Source organism: Homo sapiens, chromosome 2 (genome assembly GCF_000001405.40).
Source record: "Homo sapiens chromosome 2, GRCh38.p14 Primary Assembly".
Lineage (NCBI taxonomy): Eukaryota > Metazoa > Chordata > Mammalia > Primates > Hominidae > Homo > Homo sapiens.
This window is the reverse complement of record NC_000002.12, coordinates 235,923,183-235,945,268: the sequence shown is the minus strand read 5'-3', so window position 1 is coordinate 235,945,268 and position 22,086 is coordinate 235,923,183. Positions and strand designations below refer to the sequence as shown.

General features: G+C 48.0%; 1 protein-coding gene across 4 annotated transcripts in view, besides 2 other annotated features; it reads right to left on the bottom strand.

The window, feature by feature from the left end:
- AGAP1 (ArfGAP with GTPase domain, ankyrin repeat and PH domain 1) overlaps window positions 1–22,086 on the bottom strand; it is a 637,751-nt gene that overhangs the window by 186,525 nt on the left and 429,140 nt on the right. For 2 of the 4 annotated variants that reach the window (NM_001037131.3, NM_001436125.1), the window contains exon 12: window positions 14,346–14,504. The exons of the other annotated variants lie outside the window; for them this stretch is intronic. In NM_001037131.3, coding sequence (NP_001032208.1) covers window positions 14,346–14,504 — 159 coding nt within the window. The remainder of the gene's footprint in view (window positions 1–14,345; window positions 14,505–22,086) is intronic. 4 annotated transcript variants of the gene reach the window in all.
- Window positions 10,372–10,872: an enhancer, noted in NCBI's record as "H3K4me1 hESC enhancer chr2:236843041-236843541 (GRCh37/hg19 assembly coordinates)". NCBI's record gives its function as "activates a minimal SCP1, AML or CMV promoter by ChIP-STARR-seq in naive H9 embryonic stem cells {active_cell/tissue: H9 hESC(naive)}" and the evidence as "EXISTENCE:reporter gene assay evidence [ECO:0000049][PMID:30033119]".
- Window positions 10,873–11,373: an enhancer, noted in NCBI's record as "H3K4me1 hESC enhancer chr2:236842540-236843040 (GRCh37/hg19 assembly coordinates)". NCBI's record gives its function as "activates a minimal SCP1, AML or CMV promoter by ChIP-STARR-seq in naive H9 embryonic stem cells {active_cell/tissue: H9 hESC(naive)}" and the evidence as "EXISTENCE:reporter gene assay evidence [ECO:0000049][PMID:30033119]".

The window sequence follows — 22,086 nt, the reverse complement described above, 5'->3', positions numbered from 1 at the left end:
ATTAGCCGGGCGCGGTGGCGGGCACCTGTAGCCCCAGATACTCAGGAGGCTGAGGCAGGAGAATGGCGGGAACCTGGGAGACGGAGCTTGCATTGAGCCGAGATCGCGCCACTGCACTCCAGCCTGGGCAAAAGAGCGAGACTCCGTCTCAAAAAAACAAAAAAGAATTTTAAAAATGAAAAGCTTCACATAATTTTAGGAAAAGAGAAAAGTTCTTTAAAAGGACAAATAATTTCTTTTTTAAAAAATTAATTGTCAGGAACTTGGATTAGCAAGATTTGATCAATAACCTTTTGGTTTACAACGATACCACCGTCCCCCAGGAGAAGGTCCTATGTAAAAGCCGGGTGCTGGTCCAGGTAATAACCCAAACCTTGACTGCTTCAGAAGGTGGTGTAGGATGATAATTTTTCCAGAATGTGTGGTCAGAATCGATGCCGCAGCCTCACAAATCTCATCTGGGGGCCTGACCCGCCTGTCTTGCTGTCGCTGCCACTGCCTTCTGATTGATGAAGGCCTGACGTGCCCCCAGACTCCAGTTCCCCTCGTACCACCCCCATAAAGGCTCTGGCAAAGAGACACTGACGTGGTGCCTCTGGACACACAGTCAGCCAGATGACTTCAGATGTATCACTTTGGGGAGTGGAGATACTTATTTCAGTTTCTGCATTAATGCAAAGCTTGATATAGAACAAAGGATGGGTCAACAGCTGGTTTGAAGTTGAGTTTCCCAACTTGGAAAGCTTAAAATGTGGAAGTACATAAAGAATTTGTAAGTAGATGGAATTTTCTGATTCTATTTTGCATAGGAAATAATTCTTAAGTCGTATGCTTACCCAGTTATGATTTAAAAATCCAGCAAAGGACTATTTATCTACAAACATTACAAAAATAGAGTACCTAAAAAGATAACTGGTAAGGTTGTTAACTTGATGAATGCTCAGAGAGTAAGCCTCCTACTAGAGCTGAATTCTTGAACTATGACCAGATGGAATGATCATGTGTGAGAATAGTGTGATGTATTTATCGATAATTTGAAGCCCCCCATTCTGTTTTCTCAATGTAATTATAATTGTTTCCTGTAAATAAGTATATAATTTAAGAGGATCTGAAATATACATAGAAATATTTCCCTGCAACTATAGTAAGATTTTAAAAATCCCGCTGCAGAAATAATGTAGCAATTAAAATAGCATTTATAACTAAATATGTTTAAAATGTTTCTTCTCATATAAAAGAGTAAAATTTTAAGTCATTAAAAATAACCATCTGCTTCTGTGTGATATAAAATTTTTAGTATCATTGTATAATTAATATTAATATCACTTTCTGTTAATAACCTTATCTGTCACATAATAAAGCCAAGATGTAACATGATATATTCATTGAAAGAAGTTTAAGAATGCAAAACCAAAGTAACATACAAATCCTAACGGAGAAGCTGGACAGTGGGCTTGCTCAGCCACACCCCACCCTCTGTCACCCATCTCTGGCTGTCTCTCGACCTAGCCATGTTATAACCATCTTGTAACAACTTGTTCATTTTAAACACCACTCTTCTCCAACACTCATTTCTTCCATGCCTTTCTTTCTTCTCGATACCCCCCAAAATTTTAAGTGGCCAGGCATGGTGACTCATGCCTGTAATCCCAGCACTTTGGGAGGCCGAGGCAGGTGGATCACCTTAGGTCAGGAGTTCGGGACCAGCCTGGCCAACATGGCGAAACCCCGTCTCTACTAAAAATACAAAAATTAGCCAGGCATAGTGGCATGCGGCTGTAATCCCAGCTACTAGGGAGGCTGAGGCAGGAGAATTACTTGAACCTCAGAGTGAGCCAAGATCGTGCCACTGCACTCCAGCCTGGGTGACGAGTGAAACTCTGTGTCAAAAAAAAAAAAAAAAAAATTAAGTCCTTTAGGTCTTTGCCTTTTTGCATGTGTTTATAAAATCTACAAAAGGAAGTGAGGGAGGAAATGAAAAAGATTTGACCAATGTTATTCTAACAGTTGACAAAGTCACCAGGGAGGCAGTATGATTGACGGTTCTTAACCTGTTGGGTTCCTAGGTTGTGGAACTGAGCAAACCACAGAAATACAAAGTGAATATTTTCCTGTCCCAAGAGTTGTATAAAGTCATGTGGAAAAAAAGTCCTGTATTGCTTCAAAATGTACATTATAAAATCAGACGTTCTAATGTTGAGAACACAAAACATCACAAAGTTTTATTTCCAGTTGGAGAAGCAGCACATATATTTGACAAATCTTCAAATATATGTGCCTCTTGGGTAGCTGGGACTATAGACGCACACCACTAGGCCCAGCTAATTAAATGAATTTTTTTTTTAGTAGAGATAGGGTCTCTCCATGTTGCCCAGGTTGGTCTCAAATTGACAAATCTTTTTATACTGTACTACCTATTCCTAATTTGAAGCTAGGATAGTCAAGATGCTTTCTATCTTTAAAAAAGTCCCCCTGAAATTGAAAATTTGCAGCTGCAAACATGGGGACTAAAAAATTAATAAAATGCTAAATAATTTTACAAAATTTTAGACTTCTGTATGCTAGGAAATTTTTAAAATGTAATTTTTTTTTTTTTTAGACAGAGTTTCGCTCTTGTTACCCAGGCTGGAGTGCAATGGCATGATCTCGGCTCACTGCAACCTCTGTGGGTTCAAGCGATTCTCCTGCCTCAGCCTCCTGAGTAGCTGGGATTACAGGCATGTTCCACCATGCCTGGCTACTTTTGTATTTTTAGCAGAGACGGGGTATCTCCATGTTGGTCAGGCTGATCTCAAACTCCCAACCTCAGGTGATCCGCCCGTCTCGGCCTCCCAAAGTGCTGGGATTACAGGTGTGAGCCACCACGCCCAGCCTAAAATGTAAGTTAATGACACATTGTTGCCTTGAGGCCCATGAGAAGTGACCTGATTAAAAACTGGGCCAAGCAAATGAGAAAGGAACCAAAGAACGAGATGCAAATTTCAGTGACGGCTCTACCCGTGGCTACTGGACTCCTGGAACCAGGGGAATCGCGGGTTGTCTGCAGTGAGCCCACTCTGCTCTCGATTAACGCAGCCTGGCATGAGCTGTCTACACAGCAGATGATAACCCAGGCTGACTCAAGAGGGATCTTTTCAAATCACATTCCTCTCTTCCCTAGGAAATGATGAGAGCAGTCATGGCTGGGGATATGAGCTTGGGTATCTTGAGTCTAGAGGAATGCTCAGGCCTATTTCAAGAGGAGTGCAGGGAGGATGGGAGAGAGCTGAGTTCTGGGCCACATCCATCAGGGCATTCTGCTGGCTCAGGATCACGGGCAAACCTTTTTAGAATGCTTTTCCTCACTCTTCCATACCGGGCTGGAACGCTCCTTCCTTCCTCTGTGCTTCGCCTTCAGTGTCCGCCCTTCTTACCCCCCCAACAACAAAGCTCCATAGCCGCACACACCCTTCCCTTCGCATGGATCCCACACTCCCTTTAGCCTACTGAGTTCTTGGCAGCATTTGATTGGATTGGATCAACTGATGTGTCCATCTTCTCTGGGGTCACTTCCCAATGTACCCTGGGACACCACTGCATACGATAAAGCGCTAGTTATATATTTGTCAAGTGAATGGAATGAATGATGAACAGATACATTGCTGTGATGGTCTCAGTTGAAAACATGCTTAGGAATTCGCACACTCATGCATGCACGACTTGACTTCAGAATGCGAACGTATGCCTTGCACCTGCTCACCCTCATTTTACTTTTCACCACCTGACAAAGCACATTTCAATTTGTTTCCTTAGTGATTATCCGTCGATTCTTCTTTTGTACCTAGAGAGACCTGGGAACTCCGTTTGGATTCCTGCTCCACTCCCAGGGCCAGGGCAGTGGGTGGCCACAGTAAGTGGTCAATAAATACTTGTGGACTAAATGAAGTTACATAAGAAATTAAATTGTTGTGAAATGTATCTAATCTACATAATCCCTATTAATTTACACCACTGACTTTACTTATGATTCAGGAACAGGCTAAGATGATCCGAGGGAGGAAAACCAGTTTCAACTCTAACTACTTATACTAATTTAAGAACCTGTTGCTGAGACTGCTGCCAGTGTTTTCTGCCATAAACTGTATACACTGTGACCAACATGCTCTGTCTTAAGGGGCACCAGCACTGGTTCTCTGTTAAGAACCAGTTTCTAAAGCAATATGCAAAGCATTAAGATACTTAAAAATTCAGAAGATTATATCATATAAAACTGGCAGAATCCTTGGAGCTCATTTTGCAAATCGAACGAAATACACCAAGCCACCCCACCCCTGCCACCACTTGGACTATTCCTATTTGGGGATGCTATCCAAGTGTGCTCATTCACTAACTCAGCATATTACCGTGCAATGACATTGTGATGATGGGATGGACACAGCTCCAGGTAGTCAAGAAAGTGGAGACAGACAAGACCCTGAAGCCCCTCTCTGTGGTGGAGTTAGAATTACTGCAGAAGACACATAAGCAAACAGGATCATTTCAGATAGTGACAGATGCTAGGAAAACAATTCAAGATGCCAGGGGCAGGATGACCACTTGTGACTGGGTAGGAGTCGAACAAGAATGTGTCCAGAGTAAGTCAGGCCACAATACATGCTGAGAAAAACAAGAAGTCTGGGTAACCGCAAAGAATGGGATGGAGAGTGGCTGTCTGCAGTGATGTACACACGCTGGAGCTGACGTCTGGGCGGAAGCCTGAACTATCTGGTGGATGACTCATCCCAGATCTCAGCAAAGCCGCCGGCTGGAGCCATGGAGAGGCGGTCAAAAAACAGGGGTCAGACCAGCTGGGGCCTTGTCAGCCAGAAATCAAGAATTGGGAATCTATTCCACTGGCAGTGGGAAGCCACTGGAGTGGGTGTGGGGAGTGGCAATCTGGCTCATGTTTTGTTTTTTTAAAAGGTGAATTTGGCTGCAGAGAGAGAGGACTTTTGGGAAGTAAGAATGACAGGCCAGAGATGAGTTAGGACCGACGCAGCAGAAGGACCAGGGGAACACAGAGGAGGTGGAGGTACAGGACAAACCCAGCTGGTATTCTTGGAGGTCAAGTGGAGGGAACCAAGCAAATGAACAGACTGTGAGGTGAGGCCGAGGGAGGGTGTGCAAGTGATGCTTTGGGTGTGTTTTGAACTACTGGGAGGATAGATGGTGAAAAGGTGGGTGAGAAACAGACGCTCTGGATGAAAGCTGGAGTTCTTCAAATATGCTGAGCATGAGCCGCCCAACTCCCCTCCGAGCAGGTAGCTGCTTACCTGCGTTCAATGAGGAGAGAGGAGTCATGGCTGGGGATGTGAATTTGGGTATCTTCTGAGTCTAGAGGAATGGTCAGGCCTATTTCAAGAGGAGTGCAGGGAGGACAGGAGAGAGCTGAGTTCTGGGCCACATCTATCGTCTGAGGTCTGCTGGTAAAGGAGGATGACACAGGGGGCAGCCAGAGAGCAGCAGGAAAAACCTGTGTGTGTCTTCAGAGAAGCCCAGAGGAGAGAGGGTTTCAAGCAAGATGTGGAGTCAGCAGGTCTCCCACTATGAAGATTACCACGGGAACCAAGGGGTGCTCCTGGGACTGAAGTGGATGAGAGCAGTGTTGGAGGGTGCTGGGCTGATGACACATGGGAGAGGGTTGAAGAGAATGTGGGTGGTAGCTGAGGACAGACGAGTGTCCTGGAACGTGTGGTGAGAAGGAGAATAGAAGGAGAGGTGGAAACTGCAGAGGGCCATGGTGTTGGGCTGAGCGATGGCCGAGCAGGTATGTAAGCTGAAGGGAGTGATCCAATACCTGGGAGAAACCGCTGGGACAGGAGAGAGGGTGTCCGCGGAAGCAGAGTCCCTTGGAAGATGAGAGGTGATGAGTTCAGAGGTGGAAGGGATGCCCTACCCCATGTCCAAGCAGGAACAGATCATACATGGAAGCTCCAGAGGCTGGAGAGGCATGGGTTTTGGCATGGGAGAGAAGTGGGGACGTTCCCCAGTTTCATCGGGAAAGGATGCAGAGGGCCTTCAGGCAAGGGAGAGGAAGGCAGAGATGCCAGAGGAGAAGGCTGGAAACAGTCGCTGGGACCTGTCTCACTGCATCATACTACTTGGTGTCAAAGTTGTCTTTCCTGCAAATCCTACCCATTGCTCCCAGTTCAATTCTCTGGGTTTATACAGAATCAGGATCAGATTTTGTCCTATAACCACCATTCACACACATCATTCAGGTCCCTCTGAAAGAGCTTCTCAACCCTGGCTGCGCATCTGAAACCCCTGGGGGACATTCCACTGCTTGGGTTCCATCCCAGGCCAAATGGACTAGATCTCTAGCGGCTGGCCCCAGGAACAAGTATTTTTAAAAATCGCCCCCAAGAATATAATGGGCAGCCATTGGACGACGCCTTCCTGAGAGGGTCCTCCGGCCCTCCCAGGTTTTCAGCCACGCTAGGTGTTGTGGGTTTCAGGCCCCTCTCCCCATCTCGGCCCTCCGCTTCATGTGCTTCCCAGTGTGCCGATGTCTTTCTCAAAATGTGGCCCCCGAAAGGATCCTCGGAGCCCAGTGAGACATTCAGAACCTCTCTCGTCCTCTTAGTGCAGAATGTAAGTCTTGACAGCGTTTCTGCAGACAAACCACACCCAAGCCTTCCCCACCAGGTCCGGTACTCCTGTTCCATTATCTGTACTGTTGGTTTGTTGAGCCTGAATTCAAGATTTTATCTCTGTTTCAATTTGTTAGTTTCAACCCATTTTGTAGTCTCTAAATCTGGAGATTTCAATGTAGATTATGTCTCAGCTTGTGGCATCCACACATCTGATGGCCTCACCCTCCCTGTCTTCATACGCGCAGCAGGGGGACACGCTGCGCACCCAGCGTTCTTGGAGGCGGTCGGGTGGGCAGGAGAACAGCTTAGTGACAATTATGACACAGGCTGTTTGAATCTAGCCTTGACCACCGACCTGCTGCTGCGATAGGCCCAACTGCCTTCTGCCCCTGCTTCCTCATCTGAAGCGGGTAAGGCTCTGGCACTCATCTCCTCATCTGAAGCAGGGAAGGCTCTGGCACTCATCTCCTGGGGGCCTGTGCCTGGCAAGCAGTGAGTTCCATGAATGTTACATCACATCTACGCTGGTGGCAGCAGGACTGCCGCTGAACCGGCCGTGCCGCCAGGCGGATGCTCTGAGAAGCTGTGTGGAAAGCACCCTGAGGATCAGGCACTGCTCTGGGTTGGCTGCAGTGACCCTCTTGCAAACCAGAAACCGGCTTTCCTTTCTTTGGGAAGGATTCTTACTGAATTACTGTGCAACGCAGCAACCGCAGCTGGAAGGGGCCAAGGAAGCGAAACTTTCATTGTCCAGATCGGGGCTTCCTGACCGTGGCACCGCTGGTGTTTTGGGCTGAATAACTCTTGGCTGTGGGGGGCTGGTCTCTGCCCCGTGGCACACTCAGCAGCACCCTGGTGGCTTCTACCCACTAGCTTCCAGTAGCATCACCCTCCCCTATGTGACAACCAAAAATGCCTCCGGACATCACGAACTGTCCCAAGGAGACAAAATCACCCCTGGCTGCGAGCCCCTGGAATAGGTGAAGACACGCCGAGGGCCAGAGGGCCAAGAGGTCTGGTCCGGGCACTACAGCAACTAGCAACAATATCCTTCTCTACTCCCTGTTTACAAGCATTTCTAGATTTTTTTTGCCTTGCAACAACATGAAGATTTCTGGTCTTCGGGAATGAAATGTGCTGCCCCTGTTCGGTTTTGATCATGGGGCAGCATTTCACTGTCCTCTGTTTCCCCTGGTCAGCAGCTACTGCTGAAAATAGCTGATAGGAAGGAACTAAGGAGACAAAGTACAAAGTTACAACATTCTGATTGGGAGGAAAAAAAATCCACCTTTCACCCCCTGTGTCCAGTTACCCCAGGACGCTTCTGCCTGCTCCTCGGCCACATGCAGAGACAGGAAAGCAGGCTCCGAGCACAGAAGGGAGCGGGGTCAGCCTTTTAATTAGGCCGGCCAGCCTGGCGAGCCGAGCAGCCCTCCCGGCGGTGAGGCAGGGAGTGCCCAGCTTTGAGAGATGAGAGCCCAGGGGCCTTTAACACTGAGCTAAGCTGAAGGTTGATGACAACCCCCAGGGAACGCTTTTGAATGCCAGCCAAGATTTGGGAAGAATTGATAAAGGAAACTTCAGCATCAGTGAGAGAAGACAAAATGTCTATCCATCTTAGAACATATTTCCTTGAAAAGCAAGCGCTATCAAAAGACAAACAATTTTTATGATACAATGTTTTAGTACTAAGCATGCGTTTCTCCTTAAAAAAAAAAAAGCAGAGGGGAATGATTACAAGCTTTGAAATCAGAAAGATCTGGGTTTGAATTTTGGCTAATAATGATAAGTATGGTCTTGGTTTCTCAGCCTTTTGGAAGCTCAGTTATCAGAGATGATGATCCCCAGGGAAACGAGTGTTAGGCATGAAGGTCACAACAGCGGAGGCTGTCAACACATGTATTTCCTCCCCACCACGCTTCACTGATACCCTCCCATCAAAGAAGCTTCCAGGTCAGAGACCGGCAGTATCACATTACCGCCGCCTGCTGGTCATACACTAAAATTGTCAGTATAATATCCAAGAAGAGAAAAAAAATGCTCCAACTATAATGATTAAAATTGATGAATGGTGTGGACATGCTTGCTGGAAAGTGTGGTTCAAATGCATTGGCTCCGAAAGTAAGTGTGGGACAGACAGCTTCCGAAGCTGAAACTCATGTTTCGAACCCCCATCATCAAAATCGACGTGCAAAACATTTTTATAATGAGAAAAGACATTTAAAAGCTGGCAAAAACTCAAATGCTTTCCATTGAGGATCGGCTGCTTTATAACCACAGAGTCTACTGGAAAGATATAATGATTACGTGGCCAGAAGGAAACAGGGACCAGAGCATACACCCGTACACACACACATGTGATACACTCCTTCCATGTGGAAGATGGACATGGTGTTTGTGCTCGATGGTGACGAGGCTGCGTGGTGGCCTGGGGGAGGCCGAGGGAAGTGAGGCTCAAGAGCCACATGGAAGAGTCACGTGAAGAAATGCAGTATTAACAGTGATGGCCAGTCAGCGTGGCAGAAGATAAACTGTTGGACTGAAGCAATCGGGGATGGGGTGGAGCTATCAGAAGAACCTGACAGTCCAGGGCTGGGGGAGCGAGGCTGCCATGGCAACAGCATTAGCTGAGACCACCCGACGAGGCTGGCCCAGGCAGGAGCCAGCGGGGAGGGCCGGGCCAGGCTCACCCAGGTACTCAGGAGGCAGGCAGGCAGGTGAGCACTCTGGCCCTGAGGACAGGTGTGACGCATCTCAACGTGCATCTTGTCTTGAAGTAAGACAGGACGGCCAAGTATGCCACATACGACCCCCCAGGGCCCCTGCTACCCACAGTGATGCTGACTCGTGGCTAACGCTTCTAGAGGAAATTACCTATGGAGGAAATGATTAATCAAAAAAAATTACAGGCTTCCAATAAGATTCAAGAGAACCCTCAGCCAATAGTTGTTGCAGAGATAATTGTTCTGAATCTATCAATAAAGCAAAGCTGCCTCTTCATTGACTGCAAACACCAATTTCTTTCACCCAGGATTATAAGTTGGTGGTCACGGGCTCACTACTGCCATTACAGTGATAAACAGTTTAAACCACAACAGGATCTGACATGTAGATCAATTCTGGGTCCATAAAGAATCTACACAAGAGGTTGCAGGACAGGAATTTACAGCCACCAGTTTTTATTCTCTCTTGCTGCAAAAATTACTTCTGTCAAACACTTAGAAGAGTGGGAAAAAATGTAAAAAAATTAATTTTTCATGTACTCCTGGAACGGCCTTTTTCAATGCAGAGGCTCAAGATGAATATGTTTCTGCATTTAAAAAATTACGCTCAGCAGCATGTGGTACTCAGCAGAGGAGGGATCCAATCCTCCGTGCGGCTTGCAAGCCGGCAGACGGCAATTTGAAACCCTCAACCGAGCTGTCTGCATTTTCTCTAAGGGCAGATGCAGGTCTCATGTTAGCAACGCCAAATTATATTAGACATTTAATTTTAAACCTCAGGTACTTAAATGTGAAACCTTACAACAGTAATAGTCATAAAGCAGTGGGCATTCCATTTCACGAAATGGATTCTTTTCTTCTTCCCTTAATTTAAGCAGCACCTCCTGTTTTGTAGGTTGCCCCTACAAAGGAATCTATCTAATTAGGAGTTTCTCACAGCTGCTTTAAAGGAAGAAACCCCGGGGGGACCGGTGTGTCTAGAGAGGAGACTTTGAAAAGTTCTCCAGAGCCAAAGTCTTAATTTAGGGTGGACGGGGGGCGGAGAAACAGTGAATCCCAATGTTGCCGTGATTATTATGTTTTAGAGTAAGAGTGCACAACAATGGGAAGGCACACTTGCCAACACGGGCGTCTGTATTCCAAAGCTGCTTAGGCTCTCCCCATTCATTCCTGCTGCCAGCACAGAGTAAGCGACTCTGAAATCCAAACCAAAGACTAGGGATGGGGGCAGATACATTCGAAAAGGAAGTGGGGGCAGGGGGGACTTATATCACCGGCAACTTAAGAAGAAAGAGCATGACAGAAAGCTCTTAATCATGTTTGTTTCTTCTGTGATTATTTTCTAAGCCCTGCAGGGAATGTTTATGCCAAGGCTGAGTCTTGAAATCCATTCATAAACACGTTTTCTGGAAGTTGTCCATCAGATCCTGTGCCCTGGTGTTCACTAAACATTGCTGGGGTCTGGCCACTTGACGAAGCAGCACACTAAAGGGGGGAATGACGCGAACCAGAGGGACGCCGGGATGGTACCCTCGGCGCAGACAGACAAGGATGCGTCCAGCAGGCCTGGGTGGAGCCTGAATTCTGCATCACCAGCCAAATCCCCGGAGCTGTCAAATGCCACTTGGTCCGTGGACCAGGCTTTGGGAAGTGAGGACTTACAGCAGTGGTTCCCAAGCTTCAGCATGCCATGTGATCCCAGAGGGCTTGCTATACACAGGTTGCCTGGTCCCATCCCCTGAGGACTGGATTCAGTGGGACTGAGACAGGGCCTGAGATCAACATTTCTAAGCAGTTCCCAGGGGCTGCTGCTGCTGCTGCTCCTGGAGGCACACCTTGACATGCAGTGATGGAGAGCTGAATCGGGCCACCTGAGTTTGAATCCTGGCCCCTCACAGGATGTGACTTTGAGCAAGTGACATTTAATCCTTCTGTACCAAAGGCAGCCCCTGTAGAAGGCAGGTAACAACAGGATCTACTCTGTGAGGATCAAATGAGATTATCTACATAAAGCCCTCAATAAACTGTAGCTCTTATTATTACGATTATTGTCTCCCTTTTCAAAATATTTCCGGTATGACATACTATTAATCCTTAGAAAGGCCGGGCGCGGTGGCTCATGCCTGTAATCCCAGCACTTTGGGAGGCCAAGGCGGGCAGATCATGAGGTCAAGAGATTGAGACCATCCCGGCCAACATGGTGAAACCCCGTCTCTACTAAAAATACAAAAATTAGCCGGGCACGGTGGCGCGTGCCTGCAGTCCCAGCTACTCGGGAGCCTGAGGCAGGAGAACTGCTTGAGTCCGGGAGGCGGAGGTTGCAGTGAGCCGGGGTCGCGCCACTGCACTCCAGCCTGCCAATAGAGCAAGACTCCATCTCAAAAAAAAAAAAAAATCCTTAGAAAATACAGGAATCAACCAAGACCCCCATAAAGCTGTAGGAATCAGACTTCTGTGCACCATTCTGCTGTCTTTCTGGATCTTTGCTCTGTAAAATGTCAGCTCCCAAGTCTGAAAATCAGATGCTAATTTGGCAGTGCTGGGCTCTCAACACTCATCTCTTCTGGTCTCTCCTCATTTTTCTGCACCCCAACTATCACCTTTCACTTCACTGCGGCTCGTGGCTATTCCATCTTCCCTTTTCCTCCTCTCTGGGTCTTTGTCCGAAGTGCCCCAATGCTTATAATAACTTCCTCCTGCTGTTTTGCACAAAAAAATCCATCTGGTTCTTTAAGCATTTCTCAAGTTTGATTTTCTTTGGGAAGCTTTCCTTGATCAACTCTATCAATCCTTAAACGACCTGCACAATTTCAGCCCTGGGCTCTCCCTACAGCTCTCCTTCCATGTCCCTCAGCAGGCTGACACCTGGGGCATCCGCTTGCTTGTTTCTTATCTTCTATGTTCAGGGTTCAAGATTTACGAGGTCAGGGAGCATACTGGTCTTTAATGGACACCCACGTGTGTTAATATTATAGAAATTGCTTTGTGAATAAAAAACTGGCATTCAAACGTAGGCGACTTTAGTCTCACATGGGTACTGTACAAATGCATGCGTGCAGACAATGCAGCCCACTTCCATGGAAAGAGACTTCCAACCAAACGGAGGCTCTGGAAAGCAGTGTCTCACGATGTGGCGGTGTGGAAACGCCCACTGCACATACGTACAGCTCAACAGAAAGAGCTATTCAGTAGAGGGAAAGTTACCTAGTGAGTTTTTATCAAACAGGTAAGTGTGCAAAAGGAAAATCTGTATAGGATGAATTTTAGATGAATACTTAAACACCTGTATTATTGGCACCTAGACTACTCTCACTCAGCAGAGGCTGCTTGGTAAGGCAAGGCCTTGTCCGTGTCACCTGTGCACCTGGCTCCAGAAGGCCCAGCGTGCATCTCCCCACGCCCTCAAACGTGGCCCTATGCAAGAACACCTTCACGAGATGGCGGCCACAGAATGAAACCTTATCAAATAGTAATACTAATTGATAATACATATTTTAAAGTATTTGATAATGAAACGAGTATGTGAACTCTCTGCTCCTCCTAAAGGAACCATGATTAACAGTGGTTCTTCAGTCACGAAGAGCCTACTGTCCTGTGTTGTGGCACATGCCTAACTTCTACGTAAGGGAGGGGAGAACGTGTCCATTGAACAGATAAGAAAACGGAGGCTCATGGAGGTACGGAGGCTCATCCTAGGCTGCCTGGCTGGCAGGTGGCGGGGCTTCAGCTGCAGCACACACAGGGCTGATGAAAGGCTGACTACCAGGCCCGCTGGGGCATGCAGTGGTTACAAAGAGAGTAAACTGTAGACGGTTAATTTATCATAACTTCAAACCTCCTTGTTTGGGGTTTTCAGGGTTATCATCGTGATTCCAGATGAGGCAGAGAGCCTTAGAGAGCCCTTGAAGAAGCTGCAGGCAGATCTTTGCTATCTAACAAAGCACCTTCTTTTGAGGGAAGGAGCAAGCCCTGGCGCTGGGATGGGAATGGGCCAGCCGGGGCAGCCGCGTGACGCTGTGTGTGTCTGCTCCAAGTCACAAGGCTCTTCCAGACCCGCACCGCTATGGTGTGGAGCTACCTCGCTGACTCCGCGTCTCCCGGCTTGGTTTGGAGATGTCTTCCTTTAAGGCTTCTGCTTGGTGGCGTCTGCGGAGCCACTAGAAATAAGGATGATGTTTACCCAAAGCAAACGTCCTGCTGCAGCAGCTGGTGGGTCTACAGGGAAGACCTGATGCTGAATCTTTTAATTAGAACAAATTATGCTAAGATTACTCTAAAACCCCGTCTGATAGATTACATACAACAGTGGGAATTCCTTTAAATACCGGTGAACAGGCCAGAGACAAAACGCCACAGGCAAACCCTGCTGCAGCCACCAGGGTGCCCTCGGTGCTGCGTCATTCACGCTCCACACAGACGGCGAGATCGTTTCCAACGTGCATGCTTATTCCCCAAAAAGCTGGATACACTTGTCAAAATAATAATAATAATAATAATGCCAAAGGAATTTGAAAACTGAAGGATTACAAAGGGGACTCCAGAATTTAGAGGGTACACCAGGAATTCTGGAAAACAGACAAGGAGACTGAATTCACCCTAATGATATAAAATGTGCACTAGTGGTGGAAGAGTGTGGGCCACGCCACGTAGGGCAGTGTGATTGGGGAGATAAAATCAGATCTTATTTCTCAGCGCTGCCACTTCTGTCACGTGACCCTGGGTAAGCCAGTTGCCCTGTCTGCCGCCTCAGTTTCCAAACTGACCAAATGGGATGACTACCTCCTCCCTGTGCCAAAGAGGAACAGATGAGATGACAGGGGCAAGACAGCCTAGCAAGGACAAAACGTTCCACAGATGAAAGGCAAGATGTGAGTCTCTGATGCAGCCGCCCCACAGGGTGCTGCGCTCCCAGAGGAGCATGAGAGCTTAGGGCGTCCTGTCCAGCCCCTGGCTTACAACGAAGGACCTTGAGGTGGCTGCGGGTCCGTGGGGCTGAGCCCCCTCTTACCACTGCTGATGGCCGAGTTTGCAATGACCGTAGCCTCACTCCACTGGTCGGCACTGGAGACTGAGTAGGAGCGCTGGTGCATGCCGTCGGGTCGGCTGTTGAAGGAGACCAGGCTGATGCCGCTTGCCATCTGAGACCCAGATGCACTAGTGACATTCCCTAGGAATAAACAAGTCAGGTGAACACCACCGCGGACTGCAGACCACAGAAACCAGCGCGAGTTAGTCTATGGGACCCACACGCTGGCACATAGTGCACCTTACCACCGAGAGCAGCCCCTGTCCTGCCTGCATGGCAAACGGAAGCGCCAGACAGAAACTATTCGGGAGGAATAAAAGGGGGACGCCAATCTTGATGGTGCCTGACAAAGCAATGTGAAGGGACCCGATGCCACAGATGGCTCGCACCGAACAACCCTATACAAAGACGCAACCCAACCGCAACCGCAACATCGAGTGGAAGTGAAGACAAAAGACCCAGCGAGTCTTAGCAGAGACACCGCGATCCGGCAGGCCGGCAAGATGGGGGCTCCAGGAGCCCGGCCATGTCACCCTACCAATGGAACAGAAAATGATCACCCATTGAGAGTCAACTGTCTGGTGCCAGAGGATTATTTTCATGGGGAAGCCATACTTTATGATCAACACAAATCAAAGTCCCTAGACACGACACGGAGGAAATGCAGGCTCTTCAACCAGATAAGTTTACTCTTAACCTTGAAAAGACTAAGCAGAGGAAAAACAACCTGCGTGACTTCATAGAGCACAGGGGCTGTGATGAAAAATGATTCCATTGTATACTTAATGATTTGAATCAGTTGCTCAACATCAAAATGAATTATTATCTGGTCATACCAATTTTAGACTCAAAAACATAATTAAGTGCCTTTCTCTAAAGCTCAGCCAATCATACCCTGCTGCCAGCGAATTAGTCTGTTAGGTCTATTTGCAGATCTTCGGAGGTACTGGGGCTTTTTTAAAAAAAATTTTCTTCCAATTGTTTTAGTTCAGAACCAGCTAAGTTCTAAGCTGTCTCAACATAAGTTTTTCACAGTGCAGGATTTTATAATAAATACGCAGCCCATATTAGCAGTTCTTAAATCTGGCCAATTACCAGAATTTCCTGTGGAGCTTTTTAGAACTAGTGGCTTCAAAAAATACAGATTTTGATTCAGAAGCTCTGGGAATGGGGCTTGGGAAAAGATGCATTTTCAAAAGCACTCCGGTGATATGGATGAGAAGCCAGAGGCAGGAACCAGGTCTCCCCTCAAACAAGCGGCCTCACTGCGATCCCGTGCAGCACTGGGAAGCCACGGAACCACGAGCTGAAGCGTAGTGTACGAGCCCTACACCCAATCAGCGATTAACAAACGACGAGGCGTTTGGCTTTGAAGAATAGAGTTCTGCCTTAAAAAAAAAGAAAAGATACCTATTTTATGCTGTTGTCTGAACTGAGTACATTCTGAACGTCATAAGGGAAATTATTCATAGGCAGGTCTGCTTGATTCCAGAAAAAAGCCCACAGTGATGCCCCAGGGAAGGAAGGATCGGAAAGCCACAGAGGTTGTGGTCTTCGGACCTACAGAAGCAGCATCGCCAAGAGGCATTCGAGAAATGCAGAATCCCAGGCCCCACCTGCCACCTGCCTCTTAGTAAGATCCCAGGCAATCTGTGTGCACATTAATTAAAAAAACCACTCCAGCCAGAAAGTCACCACCATAAAACAAAAAATCACAATCAAAACTCCACCACGGCAGACCACTGGCATCCAAGGGGCTCAGGTGGGAGGAGCGAGGGCAGTGGCTCGGAAGCCTCGGGTCTGGGCTCCCCTGCTTACATGTAGGGTCTTGAGGCCGTTTCTCATGCCCCCAAGCCCTGATGTTCTGAGAGCTCCATCTCAGGGCATGGGCGTGCCCTAACGCCCTAGAAACACACAGCGTCATTTGGAGCCCACATCTTGAATGACAGTGCCATGTGGTGCTCCCATGCTTGCTCTTGCACCAGGCCTCACAGCAGCCGGGGGAGGTGGGCCAGGCATGTGGCATCTTAAGAGACGTGGAGGAGCAGCCCAGAGCTGGCGACATGGCACTAAGGGGAGCACTCATGCTCCTCCCTGTATTTTCCACGTGCCACCATCGAAGCCACCCTGTGGCTGTCCTCTGGGTATTGTGTGCCTTAGCCAGATCCCTATTACAATAGGGCATTCAGACCCCACAGAAGGCAGCATCCCTGAGGAGCAGAGGAGATACTCCCATCTCGGGACCCCCTCCTGGAGCCCGTGCCCACCATGTTCCTGCTACATCCCTTCACATCCCTTCTCCGCCCTGCTCTCCTCCTGGGAAGGCACCCATATGGGCTGCACCTGTTGGCTCCAGCACCTTCTAGCTTCTCACTGGGCTCAACCAATGGTGAGCATGGCAGGAATCTAAAGGAGAGAGGAGGGTGAGGGTGGGTGCTGACTCCAGGGCTCGTTCCCCGAGCAGTTGTCTTGCTGGGTGACCCCCTCTCTCCTTGGCCCTTGGGGCCCATGGGTTGTCCTGGTGCATTTCTGCCAGCCCTGGTGCCTGCACTGTCCTGTGTGCTTCTCTTCCCCTTCTCTCTCTCAATCCCACACATCCACCCATCGAAGGTGCGTTTGGGGAGGAGGCGCCTCCCAAGAGTGGCTGCCGGGGCTTCCCTGGCCTGGTTCCGCTTTCATCACGTGAATTCTGAGCAGACAAAAGGCTTCCAGACACTGCTGACACTGTTATGGTGGGCGAAAGGACTCCGCAAAGGTGGAAAAGGACAATGACAAGATGCCTGCAAGCAGCTGGGGGTGCGATTGGGGGGGCACCTCCCTTGCTGGGACCCTGACTGCTGTGCCAGGCACTTCTGGGCCTGCTCTACCTGCAGGGACACCTGCTGTGTAGGTAAGATGATAAGGAGGTAATTCCTTCCACACTGCAATGCCCAATCAGACCCCTGTCAAGTCATTATTAAGCATGCCATCTGTCCACAGACCTCATTTTATACCAGCTTTAGGCACACAAGGTCCAAATACCTGAAAAACAAAAAGGAATTTCACTGTGTCTGTCTGTCCCTCCATCTTTGGGACAACGATGACAACATGGCACTCAATAGAGCACCGCTTCTCTTGCTCCTTCTCCCTGGAGAGTGGTTCTCCGATGACAACCAGGCCTAGAAACCTTCCAGAACAATTTCCTTTAAAAGGCAGAGGACAGTATTTCAGTGCATCCATCACTGACTACTTGCAATAAAGCTCCAGAAGTAAGTATCAACACACAGTAAGGAGAGCCAAGTCAATCTCAACCCCAGACAAGGGACCACGAAATGTTCCAATGGAGGTTGCTGATCAAGAACTCATCTTAGGTTTATGAGTTCTTCATCTCATGGCCAAACATCACACTGCCAAAAAGGAAGGGAGAGATTCCTTCAAGCCTACACACTAGGAAACAACAGGACTCTGCTGTGAATGCTGCTGTGAATGTACTGGTTTTCAAACTTCTGTCTGTCCATCAAAATACAAGGACAAGTCCAATCCACTGAGATGCTGGTGCAGCAGCTCTGAGGGTGTGGCTCAGAGCCCACCTTCTGCCTCCTGAGAGAGTCCCCAAGGAACCAACCTGGAACCTCTGGGGTGACGAACCTCCTGGCAAGACCACATGCTCCTGGTGTCCAGATGGAAGACACCAGACCAGCTATCCACAATCCTTCTGACGGCAGACTCTTAGAGCCCTATAGCTCGTGAAGGCCCCCCAGCCCCAGCCACACCCACTTCCCACTGCGGGACTACACTGAAACAGCATGACTGAATTTGGGCCACATCAAGGTGTATACATGGACAAACCGTGATAAAGGTGAAACTTTCAATCAGATCCACAGACTATCGCCTGACGTCCAGGCTGAGCTCATAGAGACATTTTTACTTAGTTGATCATTTTTTTCAAAGTAGAATTAAATTGGGAGATTTCATTTAAAAATTGGTGGTTTCTGGCATCACTTAGAAAATGAAAGCATCTGGGAGCTGTGGGCCTGTGTTTATGAACAAAGAGCTGACAGCCTCTCTCTCTGGATCTGTCTGAAGGATCTGAGTGGGTTCCGGGGTTGCCCAGGCTCACACCTGCCTCCCCACACCCCACTGCACTCAACCCACCTCACTCTTGACCTCTGGTCAGGACCTTCCAAAAATATGCGGAGGAGGAGGCTCATTCCATAAGCAAAACATTTCCGATTTTCTCTTAAGGGAGTAAATCTCTGTTTCAAAATATACCCATTCACTATATTTGAGATCACTTAAATTTTCTTTCAGAAAAACCAACAAAAGAAAACAAAAGTATTTTGTGTGATAATGCAGAAACATATTTGACTAAAAAAAATTACACAGGGTCAGAAATATTGTTTCTGGGATCCAAACACAGTACCTGCCTTTCAACGTAAATGCATGAAGACATCTGCTTAAACTCTGAGGCAAACCAGTGGTCCACGACCTGAGCCACGACACTGTGGAAGCTGCCATGCTGGGTTAACACGCCCATGGAGCATCTCGTGCCATGTGTCAGCAGTCCCAGGCCAGTGGCCACAGTTTTGAGGCATTTCCACTTACTTTCAGTAAATCCACCCGTCAAAGAAACGAACCACCCCCAAATGTGGAGTGAATCTTTTTAATAATCATGCACATTCCATATCCAATTATAGTGTCATACTTTCTCATGCATTTTTTGATACAGATATGCATACAGAGTCTAATATGTAATCTCATTTCTGTTCTTGAATGAATGTCATTAACTAATTGACCTACTAATGCTGTCCTGGCATCCAGTTTTGTTATGTAAGCATCAAGCAATACCTGCCCTATGTGTTACCACACAGGAGTTTTGAACACTTTTGGAAATATCTTTAAGCATAAAAAAAGCCTCTGTTTAAAATCACTGTATTCTCACTCAAAGTACTCGAGGGCAACTGTTTTCACTCACTGGAATTCATTTCACGTTAATGAGTTATTAATTAAGGCTGAAGGTCTGAAGTTCTCATTTGTGAAACAAGCTGGATAACTTTTTTGATTGCTTGAGGGGTAAGGATCCTGACATCAAGACAAGCTAGGATACAAGTGCACCAAACACTGTTCTAAACACAGTCCAGGTCAGCTCGAAGCAGTCCTGCCGAGGTGGAGGCCTCATACCCAGCAACCAGGCTGAAGGGCAGGGGACCTAAACCCACGTGGCCGCCGACAGTCAACAAAGACACCAAGCTCTGCTGCTACTGTGTTGATTAGTTAAATCACATTTTCACACCTAGACCTGATAGCTAAGACGGTGAGTTTAAGGAAACGCCCAAGTGCTTGCTACCCAGGCATTAAAGTTGCCAGTTCAGGAAGGCTAATAGAAATAGAGCTACATTCAGAAATGCCATGAGGATTGCAAGGTGCGTGGGGTCTGCAGGAAGCCACGCCCCAACCCTCAGCCCCAGTAATGCCCAGGAAAGAGAGCCTCTGGATTGTCTCCATCAGGGACCACCTCAACACACAGCCGTTTTGCTACAGAATTTCATTCCCGTGTCTAAGGAGTAAGATATGAAGCTGGGGTCGTTTAGATGTGGGAAAACTCTGCGCACCATCGTTGGAAATGTTCTTTGCAGGCATGTCTGTATTTCCCTAGAAGGAGGAGATTGTAAAAGCCAGATTAGAATGCCCTCCTTCCTGGAGTAGACGAGGTGAGTCTAACAAGTGGTCCTAATTCACCAACCTCAAGTCACGCGCAAATACAAGGGTCTTAAAGGAAGCTTCTACCCCGGAAGCCGAGGGTACACTTATACTCGGGGATAAGTACAAGGATGTGGCCTACTTTGGGGGGTGAGTACTCTCCATTCTTCCCTTCCCTTCCATCCTTCCCTGACTTCCACTCTCCCTGCTGCTACCAGCACATCCCACCCCACTGTTGCTGGCAGCCAGCTCTCCACGGGCCTCAGTTTCTTCTTCCTCTGGGTGTGGACACGGGCAGGTGCTCTCTGCTCTGTGTTATTTTGCAGGGGATGTGGACAGAGTAAACAGACTGGTACAACAGGGGTAATGTCTACTTTAAGAGGGAGCACATCTGTTTGCTGTCTGGGACAGTAAATGTCGCTCTCCACAGCAAACTTTGGACAGGCTTGCTTACGTGCTCTTATTAAACACATGGGGTTTCCTAAGCTTGGGGTTCCTCTTACAACATGAGTTACTGTGTGTGCTGGTGTCACCCTGTGGGAACTGAGGCTTGGGAAGCCAGTGCATGACAATGCTGATACTCTCACTATTGCTATTGCTGCAAGAGACTGTCATTCATTTTGATCCAGGAGTCTCATCACCCAGGAACCTAGGGCAGGCTAACCTGCTAACTCGCGAGTAGGGGAAGATGGGACCCGGTATGCAGAAGCTGCCGCCTATTCTAACATTGACCTTCTAGCGGGCCGAGCAGCCGCATGGAACTGAGCCCCTACTGCATTGGGCACAATGAAGGAAGGAGTCCCTGTCTTAGGGAACCTACAATCTAGTCTAGTAGAAGGTATACAGCAGATCCACATGTGGCCCAAACGCAAGGCAGAGTAACACAAGAGCAGCCAGAAAGTATGAGGGTCAGGGAGCCCACCGCTGCTGGAAGGTACAGGAGAGGCTCCAGGGGACACTGCAGCTTTTAGACTTTGGAATTAGGCCCATCTAGATAAAGAATAGATGGAAAGGGGAGATACTGCCTTAAGTCTACCTAAGATACTACCTTAAGATACTACCTTAGACTTAAGGTAGTATCTTGCAAGGGATGTTGACAGAATGAACAGACTGGTGAGACAGGGGTAGTGTCTACTCCCAGCGAGGGGGGCACATCTGTTTGCTGTCTGGGACAGTAAATGTCACTCTCCACGGCAAACTTTGGACAGGCTTGCTTACGTGCTCTTATTAAACACGGGGGTTTCCTAAGCTCGGGGCTGTCCCAGGACAACCTACACCACTCTTCTAATTGACTTACTGGATGCAAAGCTTTCATAAAACATTTCAAGTCCACTTCTTTTTTTTTCCTCCTTTAAGATTTCTCTTCTCCTTTCACATCTTTCAGATTTAAATCATACAGATGCACATAAACATGGCCACCAAAAAGTAGGTGCTAGAATGTTCAGAGCAGCACTGCTCATAACAGCCCCACGCTGGGAATGACGGCACTGTCCATCACTGTAGGTACATCACGGCACAACGGAACATTACCCAATGACAACAAGGAACTACTGACACGGGCCACAACTGCGGTGACATCACACACAGAACACAGAGCCGGAGACAAGCACGAGAGTGCCAACTGTTAGGATCCCGTCCAAGGACAGGCGAAACCCATCTACGGAGTGAGAAATCAGATGGTGGTCACCCTTGTGAGTGGGGTGGGGTGGGGTGGGGGTGCACGGGACAGGAAGGGGTCCATGAGGGCTGGCTACCTGCTGCTTCTGGATGTGAGTGGCGGCCCCTGTAAACGTGGCTATGACTTATGATTCTGTGCGTCTTATGTGTATGTTGTACCAGTAACACTTATCCAAAAACCTAGAAAATGTCATTGGAATGGCTTGTGAATGCAGAGGTCAGGTCAGGAAGTGTAAGAGACAGAACAGGGTTGTACAAGGAAACAGCTGTACCAGCAATAAGTCCTTAAAAAGTGGCCCAGCCCCAAACAGTATAGGATGCTGGCTTCCACAGGAAGGCAGTCATAAAAGGACCTTTTCGGCATCGT